Source organism: Homo sapiens, chromosome 4 (genome assembly GCF_000001405.40).
Source record: "Homo sapiens chromosome 4, GRCh38.p14 Primary Assembly".
NCBI classification, from domain to species: domain Eukaryota; kingdom Metazoa; phylum Chordata; class Mammalia; order Primates; family Hominidae; genus Homo; species Homo sapiens.
The window spans coordinates 170,601,798-170,625,716 of record NC_000004.12 but is presented as its reverse complement, the minus strand read 5'-3'; the positions used below and the strand labels follow the sequence as shown (position 1 = coordinate 170,625,716).

The following is a 23,919-nucleotide window of genomic DNA, read 5'->3' as shown; positions in this document are numbered from 1 at the left end:
AATAACATGGATGAACTGGAGAACATTATGTTAAGTGAAATTAGCCAGGCACAGAAAGACAAACACTGAGTGGAATCTCTTATATGTGGAGTATTAAAAAAGTCAGACTCATACAGAGAGTTATATGATGGTTAACAGATGCTAGAGGTGAGAGATTGAGGAGATGTTAGTCAAAGGACGGAAATATAAAAAACAATTTATGAAACTAATGAAAACCTCCTGAACTTAGCCATTTCACAATGTATACATATATCAAAGCGTCGTGTTATACAACATAAATACATAATGTATAGTTTTGAATTAAAATAAATTTAAAAAATAATTTTCCAATGATCAGTCAGCATGAAATGAACTGGATGTAATCAAAGCCAATAGTGAAAGCATCTCTTCCATGAATTTTTCTCAATAATAATAATTTAACTATAATATATCTCTTACTCATCTCTTACATTGTCTAAACACATATTTTATGATTTGGTATATTTTATCTCAAGGTTCCCTCTAATGGTACATATTGTTAAGTTATGTCTTCCTAGTAAAACTACATACTCCCTTAGGAATAAATCTTGGGAGGTTACTCTTAGCAGTGACAGCACTGATGGCCGAGATGGCAGAGGGGAAAAGTCAGCACTGCATATCTGAAACCTGCCGGGGAGGAGGGGAGATCCCAGCTGCTGTATGGTGTGAACATACTGAGGTCCAGATTTCTGTTTTGTCCAGCCTTCCTATTGATCTGAGAGATATTCACAACTCTTAAAATAATTGTATGTCCTGTTTAGTTATCGAGGTCTGGTTTCTATTATTGGCAGCAAAAAAAAAAAAAATGCTGTCCAGTAGATATAATAAAAGAGAAAAAGTGTAATCTTTCCCATTGTCTGCCATTTAACACTGTGATCTAGGAGATAAACACAGAACAATTATTCTAAAAGTTTGGGCCATCAACAGTTTAAATAATTATAAGTTCATTTTATTTAATGTTCTTGAATTCAACATCCATAAAACATCCCAAGGAGATCAGAAAAAAATAATGTTTTTCATTCTCTACCATTTTTCAGGTAAACATTCTCAATTGTTTAATAAAATATCAAGTTATTCGTGAGTTACTAGATAGGAAGTTGCAATTATTCTGTATTTTCTCAATCAAGACATAGGAAAGCTATGGTCACTTGGAAGTCCAATAAACTAATTAATCACTTCAAAGAACATCATATTCAAAAATGGAGAAAACATTTTCAAAGACCTTTTTTTATCTTTTGACATGTAAATAGTCATTATAAGGCTATCTTCAACCTAAAAGTTCTAAAAATTTATAAAACCAGTGAAAACCTCCTGAGTAAACATAGGAAAAAGCATTTCTGAAATTTAGCATGCAACTACAGAAGGCTCAGTGACAGACAGGGAAGTGAACCATAAGACATGGGCAACGAGGATCAGAAGAGAAGAAGTAAATTTGTAAAAGTCATTGTCATTGATATTACAAAGTCCCAACGTTTGTAATTGCAGACAGAGTCACCAGATTCTTTTTAATTAATATACATGTCTTCATGAAAGAATAAAATAGCCAGATTGAAACGGGATGCACACCAGCCAGGACCAAAGAAGACTGGTAGGGAACAGAACTGGCCTGCAGAGGGAGATAAATGCAGGATAGCTGCATTTTCCTGATCAAAATTCCTAGTTACGACCTGCACAGTACACTTTTTAGAAGGGAATAGAATTAAAGACCCGAAACTCCATTATGGTCATACACATACCTTACGTATATTTTGTTCTATTGGTATACGTTATTTAAATTAACATCTTAATATCTACTTACTATTCATTCTCCATATGATTTCGGAGTCCAAATAACTTCTAATTAAGGAAATCTCTTTGGTTATTAGTAGGTTGGTGCAAAAGAAATTGCGGTTTGGGTCATTAATGGTGAGAATCACAATTATTTTTGCATCTACCTAATCAAAAGAATCTGAAATGGAACAACTCAACAGACTAGTGTGTCCTTCCTACCCTGAGACTAATTTGGTGACTATTCCCCTAGAGCAGGAGTTCCCAACCCCAAGCCACCCACAGGTACCAGTCTTGGAACCTGTCTGCACAGCAGGAGGTGAGCGGCAGGTAAGTGAGCATTACCGCCTGAGCTCCGCCTCCTGTCAGTGTCAGATCAGCAGCATGACATTCTCTCTCTCTCTCTCTCTTTTTTTTTTTTTGGTCTCATTTCATTGCCAGGCTGGAGTGCAGTGGCGCGATCTCGGCTTACTGCAACCTCCACCTCCCGGGTTCAAGCGATTCTCAGGCCTCAGCCACCCGAGTAGCTGGGATTACAGGCCTGCATCACTACACCAAGCTAATTTTTGTATTTGTAGTAAAGATGAGGTTTTGCCATGTTGACCAGGCTGGTCTCAAACTCCTTGCGTTAAGAGATCCTCCTGCCTCGGCCTCCCAAAGTGCTGAGATTACAGGCATGAGCCATGGAGCCCAGCGGCATTAGATTCTCAGAGGAGACTAAACCCTATTGTGAACTGTGTATGTGAAGCATCTGGGTTGTGTGCTCCTTATGAGAATCTAACTAATGCCTGATGATCTGAGGTGGAACAGTTTCATCCCCAAACCATCCCCTCTCCCCTCCCTGCCTGGTCCATGGAAAAATTGTCTTCCACAAAACCAGTCCCTGGTGTTAAACAGGTTGAGGACTGTTACCCTAGAGGTCTGAATAAGGCCCTTTTTGTTTGGGCATGCCACTGTTACATTTTTTTATCCCATTCTTATTACCTTCTTAGAATTTTACTTACATGTATCACACATATCTCATGGGTCAATTCCTTAGTTATCCATATAAAAGTAATTACATCAGTTTTAATTATTGGAAAATCACACAACCTTCAAAAGAAGGTACACAGTTTCTGATTCAGAAAACAGTAGTTTTCTTTTTACTTTCTTTCACTTTTAATATTATTAATACCAATCAAGACTAACTTCAAGACTTGAGATTCAGTCATTTGGGTTTACTGGCAAACTCTTAAAAGCCCATGCATTAGCTATATTACGATATCCTAAGTAATAAACAGATTAAATATAAGTATAATATTTAAAATTAATCACTAAAGAAGTTTCATTTCTAGCAATATAAAACTTAATTTCCGGCCGGGCACAATGGCTCATGCCTGTAATCCCAGGAGTCCAAGGTGGGCGGAAGGAGGTCAGGAGATCGAGACCACCCTGGCCAACATGGTGAAACCCTGTCTCTACTAAAAATACAAAAAATTAGCTGGGTATGGTGGCATGTGCTTGTAATCCCAGCTACTCGGGAGGCTGAGGCAGGGGAATCACTTGAACCCGGGAGGCAGAGGTTGCAGTGAGCCAAGATCGTGCCATTGAATTCCAGCCTGGCAACAGAGCAAGACTCTGTCTCAAAAAACAAACAAACAAACTGAATTTCCTCATAAAAATAACAAAATGTACAGATAAAAATATGTACAGCATTATGACTGTATGCATGAGATGGCAATACAGTGAGGAATAGTCAAGACAGGGAATGAGTGAAGGCAAAGATCTAGAGAGGAAAATGGAATACCTGAGATGACCTTGAGCTTGTGGGCATTTTCCAAAACTCAGCAAACTTGAGCATGAGTTTTCTGACCTCCCAGGGCCCTGAGACAGAAAAATAATAGGTTAAGGAATGCCCATATAACTGGTAAACCATTATTCCTGGGTGTCTGTGAAGGTGTTTCTGTAACAGACTAGCATTTAAATAAGTGGACCCAGTAAAGAAGCTCTGCTCTCACCATTGTGGGCTGGTGTCATCCAATCTGTTGATGGCAGACCTGAATACAACAAAAGGCCAGGAAGGACGAATTCTCTCTCCCTGTCCTTGAGCTGAGAAATTCGTCTCCTGCCCTCAGATATCAGAGTTCCTGGTTCTTGGGCCTTTGGCTTAACACCAGTGTCCATCTCCACCTCTCTGACACACACACACACCTGTGGTCCTCAGACCCTAGGACTCTACTGAATTGCACTACTTTCCTGGTTTTCCAGATAGCAGATAGTTGGTGGGACTTCTCAGCCTCCATAATCACGTGAGCCAGTTCCTATAACAAATTATCTATCTATCTATCTATCTATCTATCTATCTATCTATCTATCTATTACCTATCTATCTATCTACTGATACATCTATTATTAAATCCCTGTCCCAAAAGGTCTACATGGTAAACTGTCAGCCTTGAAGCTTATGCTCAATAGAGGAGAAAAAAAATTTCTCTCAAAAGTTTGAAACCTTAAGTTTTTCTACACATGGGCTTGCAAACTAATTCACATTGTCTGAGTTGCAATCAAAAGGTTAACTTAAGAGTATTTTCCTAGTATTTCTGGCTTGGTAGAGCATATGCTTTCTGGATGAACTCACCTTTGCAACAGTTTTCAAATAATTTTTACAGATCAAGTTCCAAAGAAACTACATCCCTTACTGCCCCCAAAAATCAAATATGGAAGGACACTGCAATGCCAGCCAAAGCCAGCAGAAGTGACAATGAGCAAATCTAGACTCACAAAAACATCAGATATGAGAATCATCAGATACCAGAATCATCAGATACATAATATAAAATAAGAATGTTCATTATGTTTCAAGACATAAAAGAGAGTTTTGAAAAATAAGTAAATAGCAAGTAAATTTGAAAAAATAAAATAAAATCTGTTCTAGAAATAGAAATGTGTAATTGAAATTAAAGTACTTAACACTGTTAAAGAGCCACGTAAATAGAAAATTATTAATTGAAATATGGAACCAAAGAAATGATTATGCATATAGAGAACAACAAAGTAACCATGGAACAATGAAATTAAGAATTATGAAAGGTAGAATAAAAGAGTTTAATATGTTCCCATTCAAAACTCTCAGAATGTGAGAATACAGTAAAGGTTGCAGAGGCAATACATTTAAAAGGAGCAGCTGGGAACATTTTAGAATTGGTGTAGGAATACAATTAACATATTTAATAAGCCCAAGAAATCCAAATCAGAATAAATAAAATTCTCATGCAGCTATATCATAGAGAAAGTATAGAAAAGCCATGAACAAAAGATCCTAAAAGCATCCAGAGAGAAAATATTACTTTCAAAAGAGTGACAAGGAACCAACAGCTGACTTCTTTGAGACACCACCAACAATAAAAAAGCTATCAATCAGTCAAGAATCCCATATTTAGCAGAAATATGTTTACAGAATGTAGGCAAAGTACAGACAAATTTCAAAATGGAATGAGAAAAAACCTCATTAATTTCAAATAATGAAGAAAATAAGAGAAAAAACACTGGTAAAAACTGGAAGAAAACAGTTATAAACTAAGTAGACAAGAATAAATCAAATTATTTTAATCATTAAAAGTAAATGGACTAAGCATTAAAAACATTTTCAGGTAAGATTAAAAAATATAAATGAAATTGGGTTTTACTGTGTTTTAGAGACACATAAAAAGCATAGGTTGATAAGAGTTGAAAGTAAAGATTTGATGTGCAGATATACATATGGGGCAAATATTAATCAAAGAAGACAAGTATAGCTATAATAATGTCAAACAATGATGACTAATTAAAATTGGTTTCCAAGAAGAAACAAGTATGCTACATAATGTAAAAACATTATTGTAAATATTTAAGGTCTCTGCATAATGCTGATAATTCATCGTGAAGTAAAATGATATGAAGTCTGGGTATACTAAAATGTCTCTCAATAGGTAAAACAAAGATTGGAAGAACCACAGAAACATACAGATCCAAAGTCACAATAAAAGATTTTAACACGTCTCTCTAAGAGCAAGCAGATAAAAATCATGACAACCATAGAAGATTATATATTTAAAATGTCTAAAAGTGAACAAAAGACATTAAAAGGAATTTCACAGAAGAAATAATATATGTATATGAGAATACATTTAAGTAGAATTGAAGTAAAAATGCAATTTAAGCATCAATAAGCTATCATTTTATACTGACTGTAAAAAATTTCAGATAATATTATGTGGAGCTACTAGAACTTTCATATGCTGATGAGTGTGTAGATAAACGACTTTGAAAATAATTTATACTCTATGGTATAAGTGGGCATGTATACACTTTACTATTCAGCAGTTCCTGTCCTAGGAAGAAGTCCCCAGTGAAAATGTTGCACATGTACAGGAGACATTAGGGGCATTTCTGTAACAGCATCAGTCAGAATAGCAAAAACTGGAAACACAAAAAGCCATGAAAATTGTTGTGGATTAATGATGTATAGTCCATGTATTCAATGGAATTCTATGCAGCCATGAATAAATTTGAAGAGTAGCCGTAAGTAGTAACATGGTTGACCTAAAAGAATAGTGGTCAAAAAAGCAAGTTATAGAAGAATAAATATGCTATGATTTCTTCTATACAGTGCCCGAAATATACAGAGTTAAATAATGTATTGATTAGAATTAGATAGGGATTCATAAAGATGGCAAAGACTATAATAGAAAGCAAAGAAATACCTGCTACAAATTTCAAGAAGTGATTACCTCTGGGAAGAGCAAGAGAGATACAAGAAGCCTGCTTGGATAAAATTTAAAGGGTAAAGTTTTGCTTCTTGGCCAAGGTGGTGGGTGCATGTGGTTTGTATATGGTAGATAATTTTATTTTTTTATCCGTAATATACATTTTCATATAGTCCTGTGTATATATACTGTCTTTGGCATATTGGAAAAACAGTAAACCACTGAAGTAATTGTAGTTGAGGATATTTTTCTGATTAGACTACACTGAGTACATTTTTAGTCTTCAGAGAAAATATCAAAATAGCCTTTACAAGGAATTTATGAAGCACAGGAAAGCACAGGATCAAGAAAAAAAATCAAAACTTGCTCATAGCTATTAAATCTAAACTAGAATATTTCAACCATGTTTCAACTGAGCAGACACCTAGCTAGGGAAAAAAGAATATTTTTCACCCTCAGCAAAGATTCCTCACTGTTGGTTAAATGTTAAATTTTTTTCCCTGCAGGGTACAAGGAATGAGGTCAAACACTTTTTAAGAATAATCGAGTAGTTTAACCTGTGCTATAGGGGCTTGTTGAACAGAACTTGTCTGTGGAGAGAAAATGACAGATTTTTGGAGACTGTTGCAAAGCTGTCAGGTTATGAACAATAATTGGCCATATAATGAGCTTCTCACTTTCATCAAATCCTTGGGCATAGAAACTCTTTCTATTCTCTTGAAAAACAAATAAACCTGTGGCAAAATAAGTACAGCTGCAATAATTGAATTATGAATGGAAAACAGTAAAATGCAATTTTGAAGTTAATGCTGTAACTCACTGTTAAATTCAAAATTCATCTTTCTCTCTCCTCACCAGTGGATGTGAGGATTTGGAAGGATTAGCTTGTTTTCTGCAGTAAACAATCGTTAGAGAATAAGTTAATTATAGCTTGAAAGTAAGAAACGTTTTCCTGAGAGGATAAAATGTGTAACATATTAAGCTACTCAGATCCACTGGGAAGGTGGGCTGCAAGGCAGTAATCTGTTCCCTAGCTTGCATATACATCCAAAGCTAATTGTAAAAGGTGGTCATATAATTAAAAATAGTCATGTTGAATGCAATTCAACTGCTTAGTCTAAAAAAATCTAACCATAATTTTGATTCAAAACTTATTTTTTTTAAATTTTAGAAGTAAGAAATAATTTATTTTACATTGAAGTTAGCACAGTAATATATTTCAAGTTACATACTTTGAGTTGAAAGCTATTCTATGGTATTTGAGCTCAACTGTTGTCTTTAGATATTTAATATACTGGAATCGTAAGCTTTTTTTAACCTTTGCAAGACACCCTTGCATTTAAGATCAATAATGAAATCTACAGGTGTTTTATTTACATTAAAAAATGAAAAATAAATGTATTTAAAATATGCAAGACTCATATTTACATTTTATTATTCATAACCTCTAAAATATGATTTTTTACTTACAATCAGACCACCATAGGAAACAAGGATATGAAGTAAATCAGAAATCTAGATTCAGACAGAAAAAAATATAGCTGGATGAAATTCCTCTCACCAAAGCTAAATTAGTTGTACTGTCAGATTTCAAATAATTTATTTTTTCACCATCTTTCACTCACAAAATTGTTATGTGATAGCATTTCACTAAATTAAAAATTAATGCATTTGTTTATTCAGCAAACATGCATTGTGAATGCCAACTGTACTAGTCCATTCTCACACTGCTATAAAGATACTACCTGAGACTCATTAATTTATAAAGAAAAAGAAGTCTAATTTAATCACAGTTTGGTATGGCTTGGGAGGCCCCAGAAAACTTACAATTATGGCCAAAGAGGGAGGGGAAGCAAGGCAGGTCTTACATGGCTCTTAGGAGATAAAGAGAGAGAGGCAGGGGAAACTGCCACTTTTAAACCATCATATTTCATGAGAACTCCCTCACTATCATGAGAACCTCAAAGGGAAAACCGCATGCATGATCCAACTACCTCCCATCAGGTCCCTCCATCAACATGTGGGGATACAATTCAAGATGAGATTTGGGTGAGAACACAGAGCCAAACCATATCACTAACCATGTATCAGGCACTGCCTTAGGTAGAAGGATAATGAAAACAAACCTAACAAAATGTCCTGACTTCACAGAGCTTATGATTTAGACAGAAAAGATTGATCTATAGGAGGAAAGACATATACTCAACAAATTAAAAGGTTAAAAAAGTATAATAAATGAAATTATTTTTATTTATTTAAGTATAATAAATGAAATGCATGTGCATTCATAAATACATAATTTTCATTTATTTGAGTGTAAAAAATGAAACAAAATGAAATGTACAAATATGAAACAAGTTGAACAGGGACTTTTGGGGTCAGGGTGGCATGTTCTTATATATACAGTGGCCAGGAAAGACCTTACTCACTGGTGACATTAAAATAGAGGTCTGAAGGCTAGAAGAGAGTGAGCCTCATGGGTACAGGAGAGGAGTTTTCTAGGCAATGCAAAAGCAAGGTGCTAAAGTAGGAAAGTGCGTGGCATGTTTCAAGGAACTGCGAAAAGGCCAGAGCAATGGATAGGAGGAAGAGAGGAAACTGGAAGAATATGATCAGAACAGTCCTGGGAGGCCTTACAAAATTATGGCAGAGAACTGTGTTTTTGCCCTGAGTATAATGGGAAATCATGGAAATATCCGAGGGTGAGGAGTGACATGATTTCAGTATTAAAGTGATCACTCTAGCTATTCTGTTAAGAAGAGCCAGAATTCACTAATGGATGGTGTGAAAGTGAGGCAGGGGAAAATAATCTAAGATAATTACATGATTAATTCTAAGAAGCTAACTTTGGGACATATTACTTTGAAATGTCTTTTAGACTACAAAGTGATGCTGACTACAGTATTTGATATACAAGCCTGACGTTCAGGAGAGGGATCTGACCTGGAGATATAAATTTATCAGTGTAGAGATGAACTTTAAAGCCTTGAAAGTATAAATATCAACTAGAAAGAGTGTAAGTGGAAAAGATAAGAAAGCCAAGTGCTGAAAACTTCAAATTTTCAAATTTTAAAGTTTAGAGGTCAAGGTGCTCAATAAGAACCAGGAAAGGGGATGGGTACAAGTGGCCTAGAGGAAGATCAAGAGAGTATGTGAGGCTGTGGTCCAGAATCCATATTTCTAAAGTGGCCTTTGAAGAAACACAATGATATATGAGAGCTGAACATTTTTTATTGGAAACACTTACAAGATGATGTCTAGTTATCTTTTAAAAATTGTTTTAATAGAGGGATATGTGTGAGAGTCTGTTGTGATTATGCTTGAGGTTTATTTCTAAAGGTGATTGAGTGAGAACATAGAGAGTTTAAATTGAAGGAAGTTTCATTACTCACAGGTCCCAAGAGAAGAGGGCACACTACATTACACAGGGCCACATGGGCAGCTAGCAAGGTCAGTCAGGATACAGAACAAGTATCAGTGGAACATAGACCAGAGCCTTTAGTGGAGCTTTCATGAGGAGCAGGCAAAGCAGGGTAGAGATATTGAGTAAGGTTAAGATTGGATAGTTTGAAGACTTTTTGTGGGCTGTGAGCTGCAGAAATGTTCTCTTGTTGCCCAATACCTGGTCCTGGGGTGATTTAGGGTGGGGGGACTATTGATGTGTGAAAGTTTGACAAAAAAAAAAAAGAGTTTGGAAACGTGGACTTTGAATTGCTTGGTTTGTATATGAAAGGTGGGCTTGCAGGGAAGTTATTTGCTATCTCTAGAAATTACCTAGCCCTGGAAGGAGCATTTTCTTCTTAAGTCTGCATGGTTCCACTAAGTCAAAGTATTATAAAATAAAGAAAATGAAAACATGATTGCTATGGTTTAAATGGGTCCCACCAAAAAACATGTGTTGGAAACTTAATCCCCAATGCAACAGTTTTGGCAGGTGTGGCCTAATAAGAGGTATTTAGGCCATCAGGGCTGTTCTTATGAATGGATTAATGCCATTGTCACAGAGTGAGATTCTTATAAAAGGGGAAGTTTGGTTTCTTTTTACTCTCTCTCTCCCTTTTTCTTTCTCTTTCCCCCTCCCTATTTGCTCTTCTGCCTTTTATGACACAGCAAGAAGGCTCTTGCCAGATACCAGCACCCCAGCTTCCATAACTGTGGGCCAATAAATTTCTTTTTATTATAAGTTACCCAGTCTGTGGTATTATGTTATAGCAGCACAAAATGCACTATAACAAAAATTAGTACTGGAAGGCTTGTTGCCCAGGGCCACTTCAAGTCTTTATTCCTTGCATCCCAGCACAGGACCCCTCAGCTCCCTGCCCCAGTCATGTATCAAGCAGGTCCAGGTGTAACTCAGTCCACTGCACTAGAGGTCACAAGAAGTAAGATTTGGTGGTATCCACATGGTGCTAATTTTACAAGTGCATAGAGTTCATGAGCTGTGAAGGCATGGTACCTCTACCTATATTTTGAAGGTTATATCTGATAGCCTGAGAGCCCAGGAAGAAATCTGCACAGGGGAAAACTACCTAAGAGAATCTCCATTAGGGCAATGCCTAGTGGAGTCACAGGGGTGATGCTGCCCTTGAAAACCCAGAACCATAGAGCTACTCACATGCAGCACCACCCTGTGAGAGCTGCATGCATGAGACTCCAACCCATGAGAGCTGATGCATGAAATGAGCCCACCAAAGCCTTGAGGGCAGGGCTTCCTGAAGCTTTGTGGGGCACAACCCCTGCCCTAGTATGGCCAGAGGGCAGGGCATAGAGTAAAAGATTATTCTGAAGTCTTAAGATTTAATGTCATTTGTCCTGCTGGCTTTTGGACACATTTGGGACCAGTTACTCCTTTGTTCTTGCCTATTTCTTTCATTTGGCATACGAATGTCTATCCTATGGCTGTGCCACAATTAGTTTTTGGAAGTAGATTCTTGTTTGATTTCACAGGCTCGTAGCTAAGGAGGGATTTGCTTTAGGATGAATCGTGCCTTGAGTCTCTCCCATATCTAAACTAGATTAGACTCTGGACTTTATGATAAATCTATTGAATTTCTTTTGTACCACCTGGTTCTAGATGCAATGAACTATGAAATAATTAACTATGAAGAAACATTCAAGTTTATTAACTTTAAAATAATGAGATAAATCAGTCACAAAAATACAGACTGCAAAATCATTTACCTAATTTAAATATGAGTCAAGGATAAATATAAAGTGTAAATCCATTTGGTCTTTTATACAAAGTAATTTTGTGCCACAGATTGAGTGGCTTCTATGCCCCTCAACCCAAAGCACCACCAGTGTTAATTAAATATGCATATTTAGGATTGTGGCTTAATGCCTTGTTTTCTACTGCCATCTTTCAGACACCATCTTCATGAGGAAGAAATGAGGATTTAGACTGTGTCTTAATCTACTTTCACAATCCAGCACCTAGGATAGTGCCTACCATATCCTAGACCAAATAAATATGGCATTGACCATAAAGAGCTAAATTTAATGTGGGAGGAATTAACATCAATATACCGACATCAATATAAACATACAAACATTAGTTTGGGAGAGAGGGGTTAGCAGCAGGTTTGCAATCCATTCTTTCCTTTCATCAGAGCACACCCCTTGGGAAAAGAAAGAAGGCATTACCGGGGAAATCTCCTTGTACACATGTACAATTGCACTTCTGATAAATGTACAAAGTTGCTAGTAAGAAAGTGCTTATCTAAAAAATGCTTTTATCACAATATATTCATTCTTGGATTTCTTAGGGCAAACTAAACTGGAATGACATGTATCTATGAAATTATTAGTAAATTTTGATAGTTAGTAAGGTATTTGATTCTTTTAAGCCTGATTTTACAATCTGATCTCTGTATTATCTCAATTATTCTTAAAGTAATGAGACTAGATAAAATCAACAGAATCAGATTATATATATAACATAAAATAACTCTAACAGTAGCCAAAATTCAGAAATTAGTAATAGAAGAAAAATAACACTGAAAATAAATGAGATAGGAAGAAAACTGAGAGGAAATCCAAAAGAGAAAAATAAATGTTTCAAGAAGAAAGGAGGGTTTATTTGTGTGGGATGCTGCTAATCGTTCAAATTTTTTAAATGCAAACATTTTGCAAATTTGTTATCATGAAAGTTACTGACAAAAGGAATTTTAACACAGTGGTGCTATTAATTGTTATTATGCTTCACACATTACTACTAGATCTAGATATTCAACTATAAATTTAGTGTCCATTCTTTAATACATAAAACTGCAACTCTTGTAAATACTGAACTAATTAGTAATTACTTCTGGAATCACAACAAGAGGAACAATAAGAAGCAAGACAGTAGAAACTCAACAAAACTTTATCATGGAAGAATTGATTTCACTTATGCCATATGAGAAGGATTTATCAATTTAACTGAAATTCATTTTTTTTCTTATCTAAGCACTCCTGCTGTTCTAACTCCCTGGCTTCACCACAAAGTTCATCTCCAAAGTCAGCAGCAGCATAACCCACAATACTTCCCAGTATTTGAGTACAATTGGTTTTTATTTTGTCTACAGATGCTATGAGATGTGGACAAGGATACCACACTTCCTGAGGCCTGAAGAGTTATCGGTCATGACAACAGGTGCCTAGGATGTGTCCATGCTCAATGACAGATCCTGAGTGACAGAGGCACTTGTGCTCTTCAACACATTTATTTTTTATCTGTTTGTGATACATGGGGCTCTCTGAAATGTGGAACCCAGAGCAGAGGTCCCTATGCTTGGATCTGAGAGCATTTTGACCAGCAGTATTCCACATGCCTACCACCAGCTAAAGACACACAAGTAGAACAATATTTCAACAGAGTGTATTACTAGCCCTTCACCCTCTACCCCTCCACAAAATCACAGTTCTGTTATTAAGGACAAAAAGGATAAACATTGGTTGGGAAACAAAACTTGTAAGCCACGAAGAGTGTAATCAAGCCAGAAGACCATCAGGGAATCTCTAGCTGCCCAAATACAATATCAACATGACAAAAAGATAAAATTTGAATCTATGTCTACTGTGTAGGCAGAATCCCTCATAAGGGGAGAACCTCCTGTAGGTTTAGGAAAAAACAATCTAATACCTTTACTTAAAATAAATAATTGTATATATAGACTAAATAGGAGACCACTCAAAGAATTTATTTACATGATGAATAAGAAGAGTAATTATTTATTTTCTCCGTGTGGGAGACAGGTTTTGGGACAGAGAGAAAAGGAAAGGTTGGATGTAGGAAAAGGTTCTCAGGACAGAGAAGTTTAAGATAGATGCCATGCCTCTGAAGCAAAAGGTGCCCAGTAGTATATTCTCTGTGATGGGTATGGTGGAGAACTACACCCAGTATAGTTCATCACAACACATCACAGTGAGACACTAATGCCTCATATTCAATAATGCCTGTGCTAGACAGAAGCTGGCAATTGAGATAAGAATTTGGAGTCATCAGGAGTTCAAAGCAAGATGTAACCATAGAATCATAAACACCCAAAGAATACCTGGATTATTTGAGAAGAATATAGCTTCCTCATAATAGATGAGATAGGATTCAAGCCATTCTGTTTAGTTATTAAAGCAAAATGTAGCCTGGGAATTCAGGATAAGCTTGAAGACATCCAGGTGGGTAATATCTGATTTACGATAAAACCATCTTTCAGGTTGAACTGTGTCACTAGTAGCATGAATCTAGTCATTTAACTATTTTGTGCTTCATTTCTTATTTTGTGAAATTATAATAATCAAATCTGCCTTAGAGTGTTGTTACAGGGAAAGTGAGCATCATTGGCCCTACTGAAAATTATCATGTTAGATGGTGATTGAAAAAAATGCAATTCATATACAAGTATGCCATCTACCCAAAGTAAACAAATCAAAATTCTTAGTTAAAACTCAACTTTGAAATATAATTACTGATGTTCAATTAATGACCACAAGTACAAATATTATTTTTAGATATAAAAATTAAAATATTTTGACAAAATGTTACAAATTTAAAGTTAAATATATGAAAATGGAGTTGCTCACCCAGCTATGAACTAGCATTAAAGGATCTTTTGATTCTTCTGACCCCACCAAAATTTAGGTTTGAGATGAAAATCAGTGGACTATATTGTAGATTCTTTGTGTATTTCCACACATAAGTTTCTAGTACAGTGGAAACACCACTGGATCATTGTCAGAAGTTGAAATCCCACATCCAACAGTATCCTAGATGCCACTTGACCTCTGCGAGTCTCCTGGTTTTTATTTATAAAATGAGAATATTAGTCCTTTACTGACAGAATTATTGTCAGCAGTAAATTTTTTAAATGTAGTCATATAAGCAAAGCTCAATAAATGCATTTTTAATTTGCTTTCTGCTGGAGTCATGTTATCTTGTTTGAGCAGTTTTGTTTTTACTTTGACACACTTGGGAATTTATGAGTACTCAATCATATTTTTGGTCTAGAAATAAATATTACTCAAGAAGAAAGTATTTCTGGAGCCTTTAGAAAGTTTGCTGTGTCATATTTAATAATAATGATAATTTAAATGTGTTCATTATTGTCTGAGTAATTTCTTAGTAATAGTGTATTACCTCATGAAGCAAGGCATTTGAATCCAGAAAAGACAAATTTTTTAAAACATATAAGAGTCCGTTTCCCTCTTTCCACTGTCTGCTGTCCCCAAGGGCCAAAAACACAGCCAGCCACTAGTTTTCATCAGGGATCACCAAGAAGCTGCCCGTAGAATCCAAATGCTTTTTCTATGCCCATTACCAGACCAAAAGAATTCAAATGAGATCATAGGCCCCTTAACTTTCCTTCTAGAGCAAGTCTAAAGCAGTGAGTTCCCCACATTTTTTGCATCAGTAATAAAAGTGTTTCTTACACAAAGCTTCTTCACACCTATCTCAAAGTCAAGAAAGCCTCCATCATCCAAAACTCCAGAAGGTAACCTTTCCCCAAGACTAAGGTCATGATTCCTTAGCATCCTTGGTTTTAGAGTTTGTACGTTTCTATTCCAAATAGTCCCGTCCTCCAAACTTTGAAACCCTTTGTACTTGAGGAAGAGAAAAAAAAATGAACTACTTTCTCCAAAAATTTTCTGGGCATTAATGGATTTATTTCTTTCATCGTTTTTCAATGTGTTCCCCTTTCTCAAGCTGGTACTACATACCCCTTAATGGTGTGTCTTTGGCGATTTACAGTTACTGTCCCAGAGGTGGCTAGACTGTCAGGAATACACATAGGCAGTCATGATCTGAGAAATGAGACCAGAAATTGCAGCAGCCCAGACAGTACCCTCCTGGAAGAGTTGGCTAATGAAGTGACCTGAAATGTCTTACACCTCCAACTTTCAGGATGCAAGTAGAAAAAACAAAGTGGACAATAGCCTATAAAAGCTTTATTTTATGCTCTATTTATTTTTGGATCAAAAAAATCAAGAGCAGAGACTAAAAGCTATTTATGGTTATTTCAAATTTATATTATTTTTTAAAAGAAAGTATATAGTTCTTTTTTAATGGCAGTTTAATCACAAATTACAGACATAGAAAAATTTTGAAAAATCTAATTTCAGCTGCTCATCCCAATTATTCTGCAAACTTTATTTGTAGCAGGATTTGACCCATCTCATTTTAAATTATTCAAGCACCTCATCTCATCACTTTTTAAAAATTGTTTCTCATTTTCATGCCCTTACCTGCAGCAAAATTTATAATCTGGAGCTCAAATTTCCATTTTCTTGGTGTTAGGCCATTACTCTTTACTATACCCGGAAGTCTTTTTAACACCAGGGAAACATAAATGTAATAGAGCAATTTGGGAGAAAACAGCAGGTCACCATATGGTAACAAATGGCAGAGGATAGTTATAAACCTTTTCTACATATTTTTCCTTTATCAAATAAATAATAATAAACACTGTGTTCATCTCACTACATTCCTACTCAAAATTTTCAATTGCTCTCTATTGCCCCTGTGATAAAAGTACAATTTACTCTGCTTGGGATTTAAGGCACATTGCAAACTTATTCTTAATTAACATCTCTAGCCTTGACTTTTATTGTTTAATTATAGAGAAAATCTCCAAAAATAAACCAATCTCATGACTGTTTTTTAGTCTTTGTAGACTTAAAAAAAGGTGCCTTTTCTCTGAGTATAAAATGTCCCCAGTATAAAAATTTTAAACATGTAGTAAATGACAAAACTGAACAAATAAAGTTCTAAGGACATAAATAGTTAAATCAGAGAAGTACAAACTGCCAATAAACATTGAGAGATAAATGCTAAATATTGCTTGTACAAGAAATGTAAATTATAATTCCAAAAACATGCTGTTTTTTAGCCTATCACATTAGCTAAACTTTTAAAAAGAATTTTGATTAGTTATTTTATATGTGTACATGCAGTCATACCTTATTTTATTGCACTTTGATTTATTGCACTTTGCAGATACTATATTTTTTACATATTAGAGTTTTGTGGCAATCCTGTATCAAGCAAGATTATTGGCACCACTTTTCCAACAGCATGTGCTCATTTTGTGTTTCTGAGTCACATTTTGGTAATTCTCACAATATTTCAAACTTTTTCATTATGTTTTATCTAGAATGGTGATCTGTGATGTTACTAACATAACTGTTTTGGTGCACTACGAACGACACTCATATAAGACAGCGAACTAATCGATAAATGTTGTGTGTGTTCTGACTGCTCTACCAACTGCCCGTTTCCCCATCTCTTTCTTTCTCCTTGATCCTCCCTATTCCCTGAGATACAACAATATCGTAAGCAGGCCAGTTAATAACCCTACAGTGGCTTCTAGGTTTTCAAATAAAAGGAAGAGTTACAGATCTCTCACTTGAAATCAAAAGCTAGAAATGATTAAGTTAAATGAGGAAGATATTTCAAAAGCAAAATAGGCCGAAAGCTAAGCTCTTGCAGCAAATACTTAGCCAAGTTATGAATGTAAAGGAAAAGTTCTTGAAGAAAATTAAAAGTGCTACTGAAGTGAATACAGAAATGATAAGAAAGTGAAATAGCCTTTTTGCTGAGTTGGAGAAAGTTTTAGTAGTCTGGATAAAAGATCAAAACAACAGCAGTATTCCCTTAAGCCAAAACCTAATCCAGAGTAAGGCCCTAACTCTATTCCATTCTATGAAGGCCGAGAGAGGTGAAGAAGCTGAAAAGGAAAAGTTGAGAGTTAGCAGAGATCAGTGCATGAGATTTAAGAAAAGAAGCTGACTCCATAACAAAAAAGTGTAAGGTAAAGCACCAAGTGCTGATAGAGAAGCTGCAGCAAGTGATCCAGAAGATCTAGCTAAGATCATTGATGAAGGTGGCCACACTAAACAACAGATTTTCAATATAGATGAAATACCCTTTATTGAAAGAATGTGGTACTCCATGGAATACTATGCAGCCATAAAAAAGAACAAGATCATGTCTTTACAGGAATATGGATGGAGCTAGAGGCCATTATCCTTAGCATACTAATGTAGCATCAGAAAATCAAATACTGCCTGTTCTCACTTATAAGTGGGAGCTAAATGATGAGAACACATGGACACATAGAGTGGAACAACAAACACTTGGACCTACCTGAGCATGGAGGGTGGGAGGAGGCAGAGGATCCAGAAAAATAACTGATAGGTACTAGCTCAATACTTGGGTGATGAAATAATCTGTACCACAAACTTTCATGACACAAGTTTACCTATATAACAAACCTGCACATGTATCCCTGAACTTAAAATAAAAGTTAAAAAAAAAATAAAGATACCACCGAGGACTTTCATAGCTAGAGAGGAGGAGTCAATGCCTGGCTTCAAAGCTTCAAAGAATAGTCTGACTCTTTCGTTGGAGGCTGATGCAATTGGTAACTTTAAGGTGAAACAATTCCCCTTTCTATTTCAAAGATCCTAAGGTTAAAAATTATACTAAATCTACTCTGCCTGTGCTCTATAAATTGAACAATAAAGCCTGGATGATAGCACATCTATTAACAGAATGGTTCACTGAATATTTTATACCCATTGTTGAGATCTACTACTCAGAAGGAAAAATTTGATTCCCTTCAAAATATTACTGTTCATTGATAATGCACCTGGTCACCAAGAGCTCTGATGAAGATGTACAAGTAGGTGAATGTTGTTTTTATGCCTACTAACACAACATCTATTCTGTAGCCCATGGATCAAGGCATCATTTTGAGTTTCAAGTCTTATTATATAATAAATACAATTCATATGGCTGTTGCTCCCAAAGATAGTGATTCCTCTGATGGACCTGGGTAAAGTAAATTGAAAATCTTCTGGAAAGGATTTACGATTCTAGATGCCATAAAGAATATTTGAGATTCATAGGAGCAGGTCAAAACATAAATATTAACTGAAGAAATTGATTCCAACCCTCATTGATGACCTTGACAGGTTCAAGACTTTAGTAGAAGAAGTAACTGCAGATGTGATGGAAATATCAAGAGAACTAGAATTAGGAGAGACTGAGGATGTGACTGAATCATTGCAATCTCATGATTGAACGTGAATAGATGAGGAGCTGCTTCTTATGGATGAGCAAAGAAAGTGGTTTTTTGAGATGGAATCCACTTTTGGTGAAGATGCCGTGAATATCATTAAAATGACACCAAAGGTTTAGAATATTACATAAATTTAGTTGACAAAGCAACAGCAAGTTTTGAGAGAACTGACTCCAATTTTGAGAGAGGTTTTACCGTGCATAAAATGCATCAAAGAGCACTGCATGCTACAGAAAAATCTTTTGCAAAAGGAGGAGTCAATGTGTCAAGCTTCATTGTTGTCTTATTTTAAGAAATTGCCACAGCCACCCCAATCTTCAGCAGTCACCAACCAGATTTGTAAGCAGCCATCAACATCAAGGCAAGATCCTCCACCAGCAAAAAGATTATGACTCCCTGAAGGCTCAGACAATTGTTAGCATTCTTTAGGAAAAATATATTTTTAATTAAGGTATGTACATTGTTTTTTAGACATAATAGCATTATGTCTTAATAAACTACAATATAGTATGACATAACTTTTATATGCACTGGGAAAACAAAAAAAAAAATGTGTGTGTGACTTGCTTTAATGCAATGGTCACTTTACTGTAGTGGTTTAGAACCAAACCTGCAATATTTCTTAGGTATGCCAACATCCTATTAATAATAGTTTGCTTATATGCTACACTCCTCTCAGGGCTCACATGCACTACACGTATTTCCCTGGCTAAAAAGGGTCTTGGGGGACAGAAGAGTGTGGAGGCTGAAATTCAGGCCATGCTTTTTGACAAGCCCAATGCCCTATTAGAAGTTTGGGTCCTTGTTCATCTTTGTTATTTTTGTTAATAACAAACACACTGAGGCATTTCATCTTCTCCAAGGTCACTATATCAGAAATGGATTTTTTTTTCTTTTAACTCATCTGTATCTGTTACAACTTTAAGCAGAATGTGACTCAAGCACTACATTTCCATCCACAAGACTGGGTCTGAGTTATTTTTGAACAGCTTTATGATATGCTTAGGTAGGCTTATAACTTTTCTCCTCCAAATAATACTTTTCTTTGGAAAACAAGCCCTGTGGAGAATTCCTTCCATCAAGTTGCTTCAGTTTAACCTATTTCTAGAGGACTAGTACATGCAGAATTGGCAACTACAGGGGATGAAAAGTTCAAAAAGTAGGTCCTACAAGATGTAACAAATAATTTTCTAAACATCAAAAAAAGAGAAAGAATCCGAAGACAAACCTGAAATTGAAGATGTTGGTTCTGCTGAGGAAGAAGAAGAAAAGAAGGATGGTGACAAGCAGAAGAAGAAGAAGATTAGGAAAAGTACATTGATCAAGAAGAACTCAACAAAACAAAGCCCATCTGGACCAGAAATCCAGATGATATTACTAATGAGGAGTACAGAGAATTCTACAAGAGCTTGACTAATGACTGGGAAGATCACTTGTCAGTGAAGCATTTTTCAGTTGAAGGACAGTTGGAATACAGAGCCCTTCTATTTTCCCATGATGTGCTCCTTTTGACCTGTTTGAAAACAGAAAGAAAAAGAACAATATCAAATTGTATGTATGCAGAGTTTTCATCACGGATAACTGTGAGGAGCTAATCCCTGAATACCTGAACTTCATTAGAGTGCTGGTAGACTCGGAGGATCTCCCTCTAAATATTTCCCATAAGATGTTACAACAAAGCAAAATTTTGAAAGTTATCAGGAAGAATTTGGTCAAAAAATGCTTAGAACTCTTTACTGAACTGGCAGAAGATAAAGAGAACTACAAGAAGTTCTATGAGCAGTTCTCTGAAAACATAAAGCTTGGAATACATGAAGACTCTCAAAATCAGAAGAAGCTTTCAGAGCTGTTAAGGTACTACACATCTGCCTCTGGTGATGAGATGGTTTCTCTCAAGGACTACTGCACCAGAATAAGGAAAACTAGAAATGAATCTTAAAGTTGTCTTTTCAGAAGTGGAGACTGACATCTTATTGACAGGACTGCTCCTTATTTTCTTAATAAAGTGAATTGCCTCTATCAGAAACTAATGTGAAGTCATTTTTGCATTCCATTTCAATTTTATTTTTTCTTATATACAACCAGTCATTCCAACAGAGTACACTGAATAATCTATTATTATTAGAAAATTGTCTTTACCTTTAATGAATTTTACCCACATATAGTTTGATTGAATATTACCAGTAAGGTATTTTATTATCTGTTAATGCAAATCTCATATCATGTTTCTTCTTTTAAAAATGTCTTAGCTATTTTTACCTATTATTTCTAGCAGCCGATTTTGGAGTAGTTCAGCTGGAATTTTTATTGCAATTGTATTGTATTTATATTTATACTTAGTTTTAGAAGGAATAAAATTTTTATTATATTCAGTTTGCCTTTTAGGAAAAAATACTTCTCCTTACTAAATTTCTTTTATGTATCTTAGTGATAGCATATAGCTTTCCTCATACAAGTCCTGTACATTTCTTGTTAAGGTATTTATAGGTTGTTTAAACTATTTTCTATGTTTATTACTAAGAATCTTTTTTAATACATTTTCTAAGGGGTTATTGCTGGCAGATAGGAAAGCTATTGATTTTTAAATAATTTTCAACTGAGTTACTCACATTTTTGTGACTGTTAATTTTTCACACACTTGCTTCAGATTTTCTAGGCATACAAGTATATTCCTCAAAAATAGTGCCCACAGAGTACAAATGCCTAAATACATTCAGTTAGGCATAATAAGCCTGTAGATTCAAACTCTAATCTTCCCTTACATACATTTCAGCTTCAAATTTTTCTTTGAAAAGTTAAATAACATAGCAGATTTATTCCAACAACGAAACAAAACTCATACATAAATGTGCAACTGAAATTTAGACATATAGTAAAAACAGGGCTGATTTCATATAATTGCTTATAAAAGTCATTGACAAATAACTCAAGTTTGCACAAAATATTATTTTCCAGCCTTCTCAGGACCATTTTTGCTCTTCAAGGCTCTCATGTAAACAAAGGTATAAGTTTAAGAATGGTGGAATAATTGTTAAGGAGGTTTTCAGTACTCATATTCTGAAAGTGCCTTCCAATATCTAGGTTTTTAAATACCTTTATAACATATTGGGTTATGACAATTGTTATTATAATTCTATTAAAAATATCACTTCATGTTCACCATACTTTCATTCTGTGATGGCCAGTACTGGGACAAACACAGGCAGATATCATGATACAAGAAGAGGGAAGATTTGGCCTTGCTCAATTAGCTGCTTATCCACAGGCCCCATCATACCAAGAGCTTCAGGGCTCACCTGGGAACATTGGTTGGTAGACTGGGAGTTATATTGATGTATTGCTCATCAAATTTTTTTCCAGGTCCCCAGTTAATCTGCTGTGTGATTCTATGTCTACTTTTACCTTAATTTCATTATATATACATTATAAATCCTATTGACGGGCTCCTGTATTTATAAGAAAACAATATTCTTCACATTAAACATTGCACCCTTGTATAGTATGAATCCTCACTCCAATTATATAAATTCCTACAAATCATTGCCCATATTTCTATTGTGAAGCAATACTACATACTCATTTATCTTCTAAGTAGCTATTAGATTGAGCTCCTTGAAGGAAGAATGAGGGTCTTTAGATTTTTTGCATAGTATTAGATACATAGTAGGTGATTTTTGAAGGGAACAACAAGGTAAGACATTCAAAGCAGAAGGAGATAAGGAAGCAACTAGCCAAAAACAGTCTAGGTACGTAGATTCAACAGGGAAAAAATGATTTTATTCCCTGTTTTCTACTTTACCCACATTTACTTTGGGATATAAGAAATGAAAAAAAGGCAGTTCTGTGGGGTGATATTAAGCAGTAAATGTAGCTGCAAGCTTTTGAACAATTTATCCTATAGATCAACTTGTATATTTTCAGTGAATAGCACAAGAGCACATAAATATCTCAAGGGGCCCAATGACATGTTGAGGTCTTAAAATATGTTCTAATATAAAGAATTTTGTAATGCTGTTGTAGTTGAGCATACACGTTTTTGAGCTTTTTAAGAGAGCCAATTTCTCTCAGATATGTTGCTCACTAAACCAGTAGAAACTTATGGGAATTTTAGGCTCTTGAGTTGTCTTACAACTCATATCACAGATATCCACATCTGACTATGGAATTAAGAAAAAACTGAGGAAACAATTTTGGAAGACCTGGAAATCATATCACCTGAGGTTATAAACAAATTCACTCTCAGATTCATTTTATAGAAATTACCACAGATATGTTGCAGACAAGATCAGTCTTTTGCCCATGCTTACCTGCACTGTAATAACTAATAAAACAATATCTTGTAGATGCAGACTATAATTAGATTAAAAAAAGAAGTCACAGTTTGATTGCTAATCACAATATCCTGGTACATTTTCTGAGGTAATATTTTAAATTCTCTCCTCCTGTAGTATAATTGCCACATTCTGCTTCTAGTGTAACTGCTAGTGAGTTTTCCAGGCTCCTTTGCATTTATTTTAGTTGTCTGAATGCAGTATGTTCAAAGTACAAAACAGTCTTTTAAAAAACACAGAGAAGCAGAGAATATTTCATTTTAATCCAAATTTCTCCAGAGAATTATATTTGGTTTCCTTTCACTAGAATCTACATGCACCTCACCAGAATCCATCAGGTCAGCTGCAGATTGTGGTGGCTTTATGCAATTTCAATATCTGTCCATGCAAAAAACAATATTTTCACATTATCATTAAAAAAGTCCTGGTGAGAAGGTTTGGAATCTTAAATTAACTTAACTTATTTCTCTGTCTACACTCTTGTGTGAATACATCTCTTAAAGCAAATAGCATATGTTGCTT

The 23,919-nt window shown here is 35.3% G+C and overlaps 1 pseudogene; it reads left to right on the top strand.

Annotated features, from left to right (window-relative positions):
- HSP90AA6P (heat shock protein 90 alpha family class A member 6, pseudogene) lies at positions 20,259-21,002 on the top strand (annotated as a pseudogene).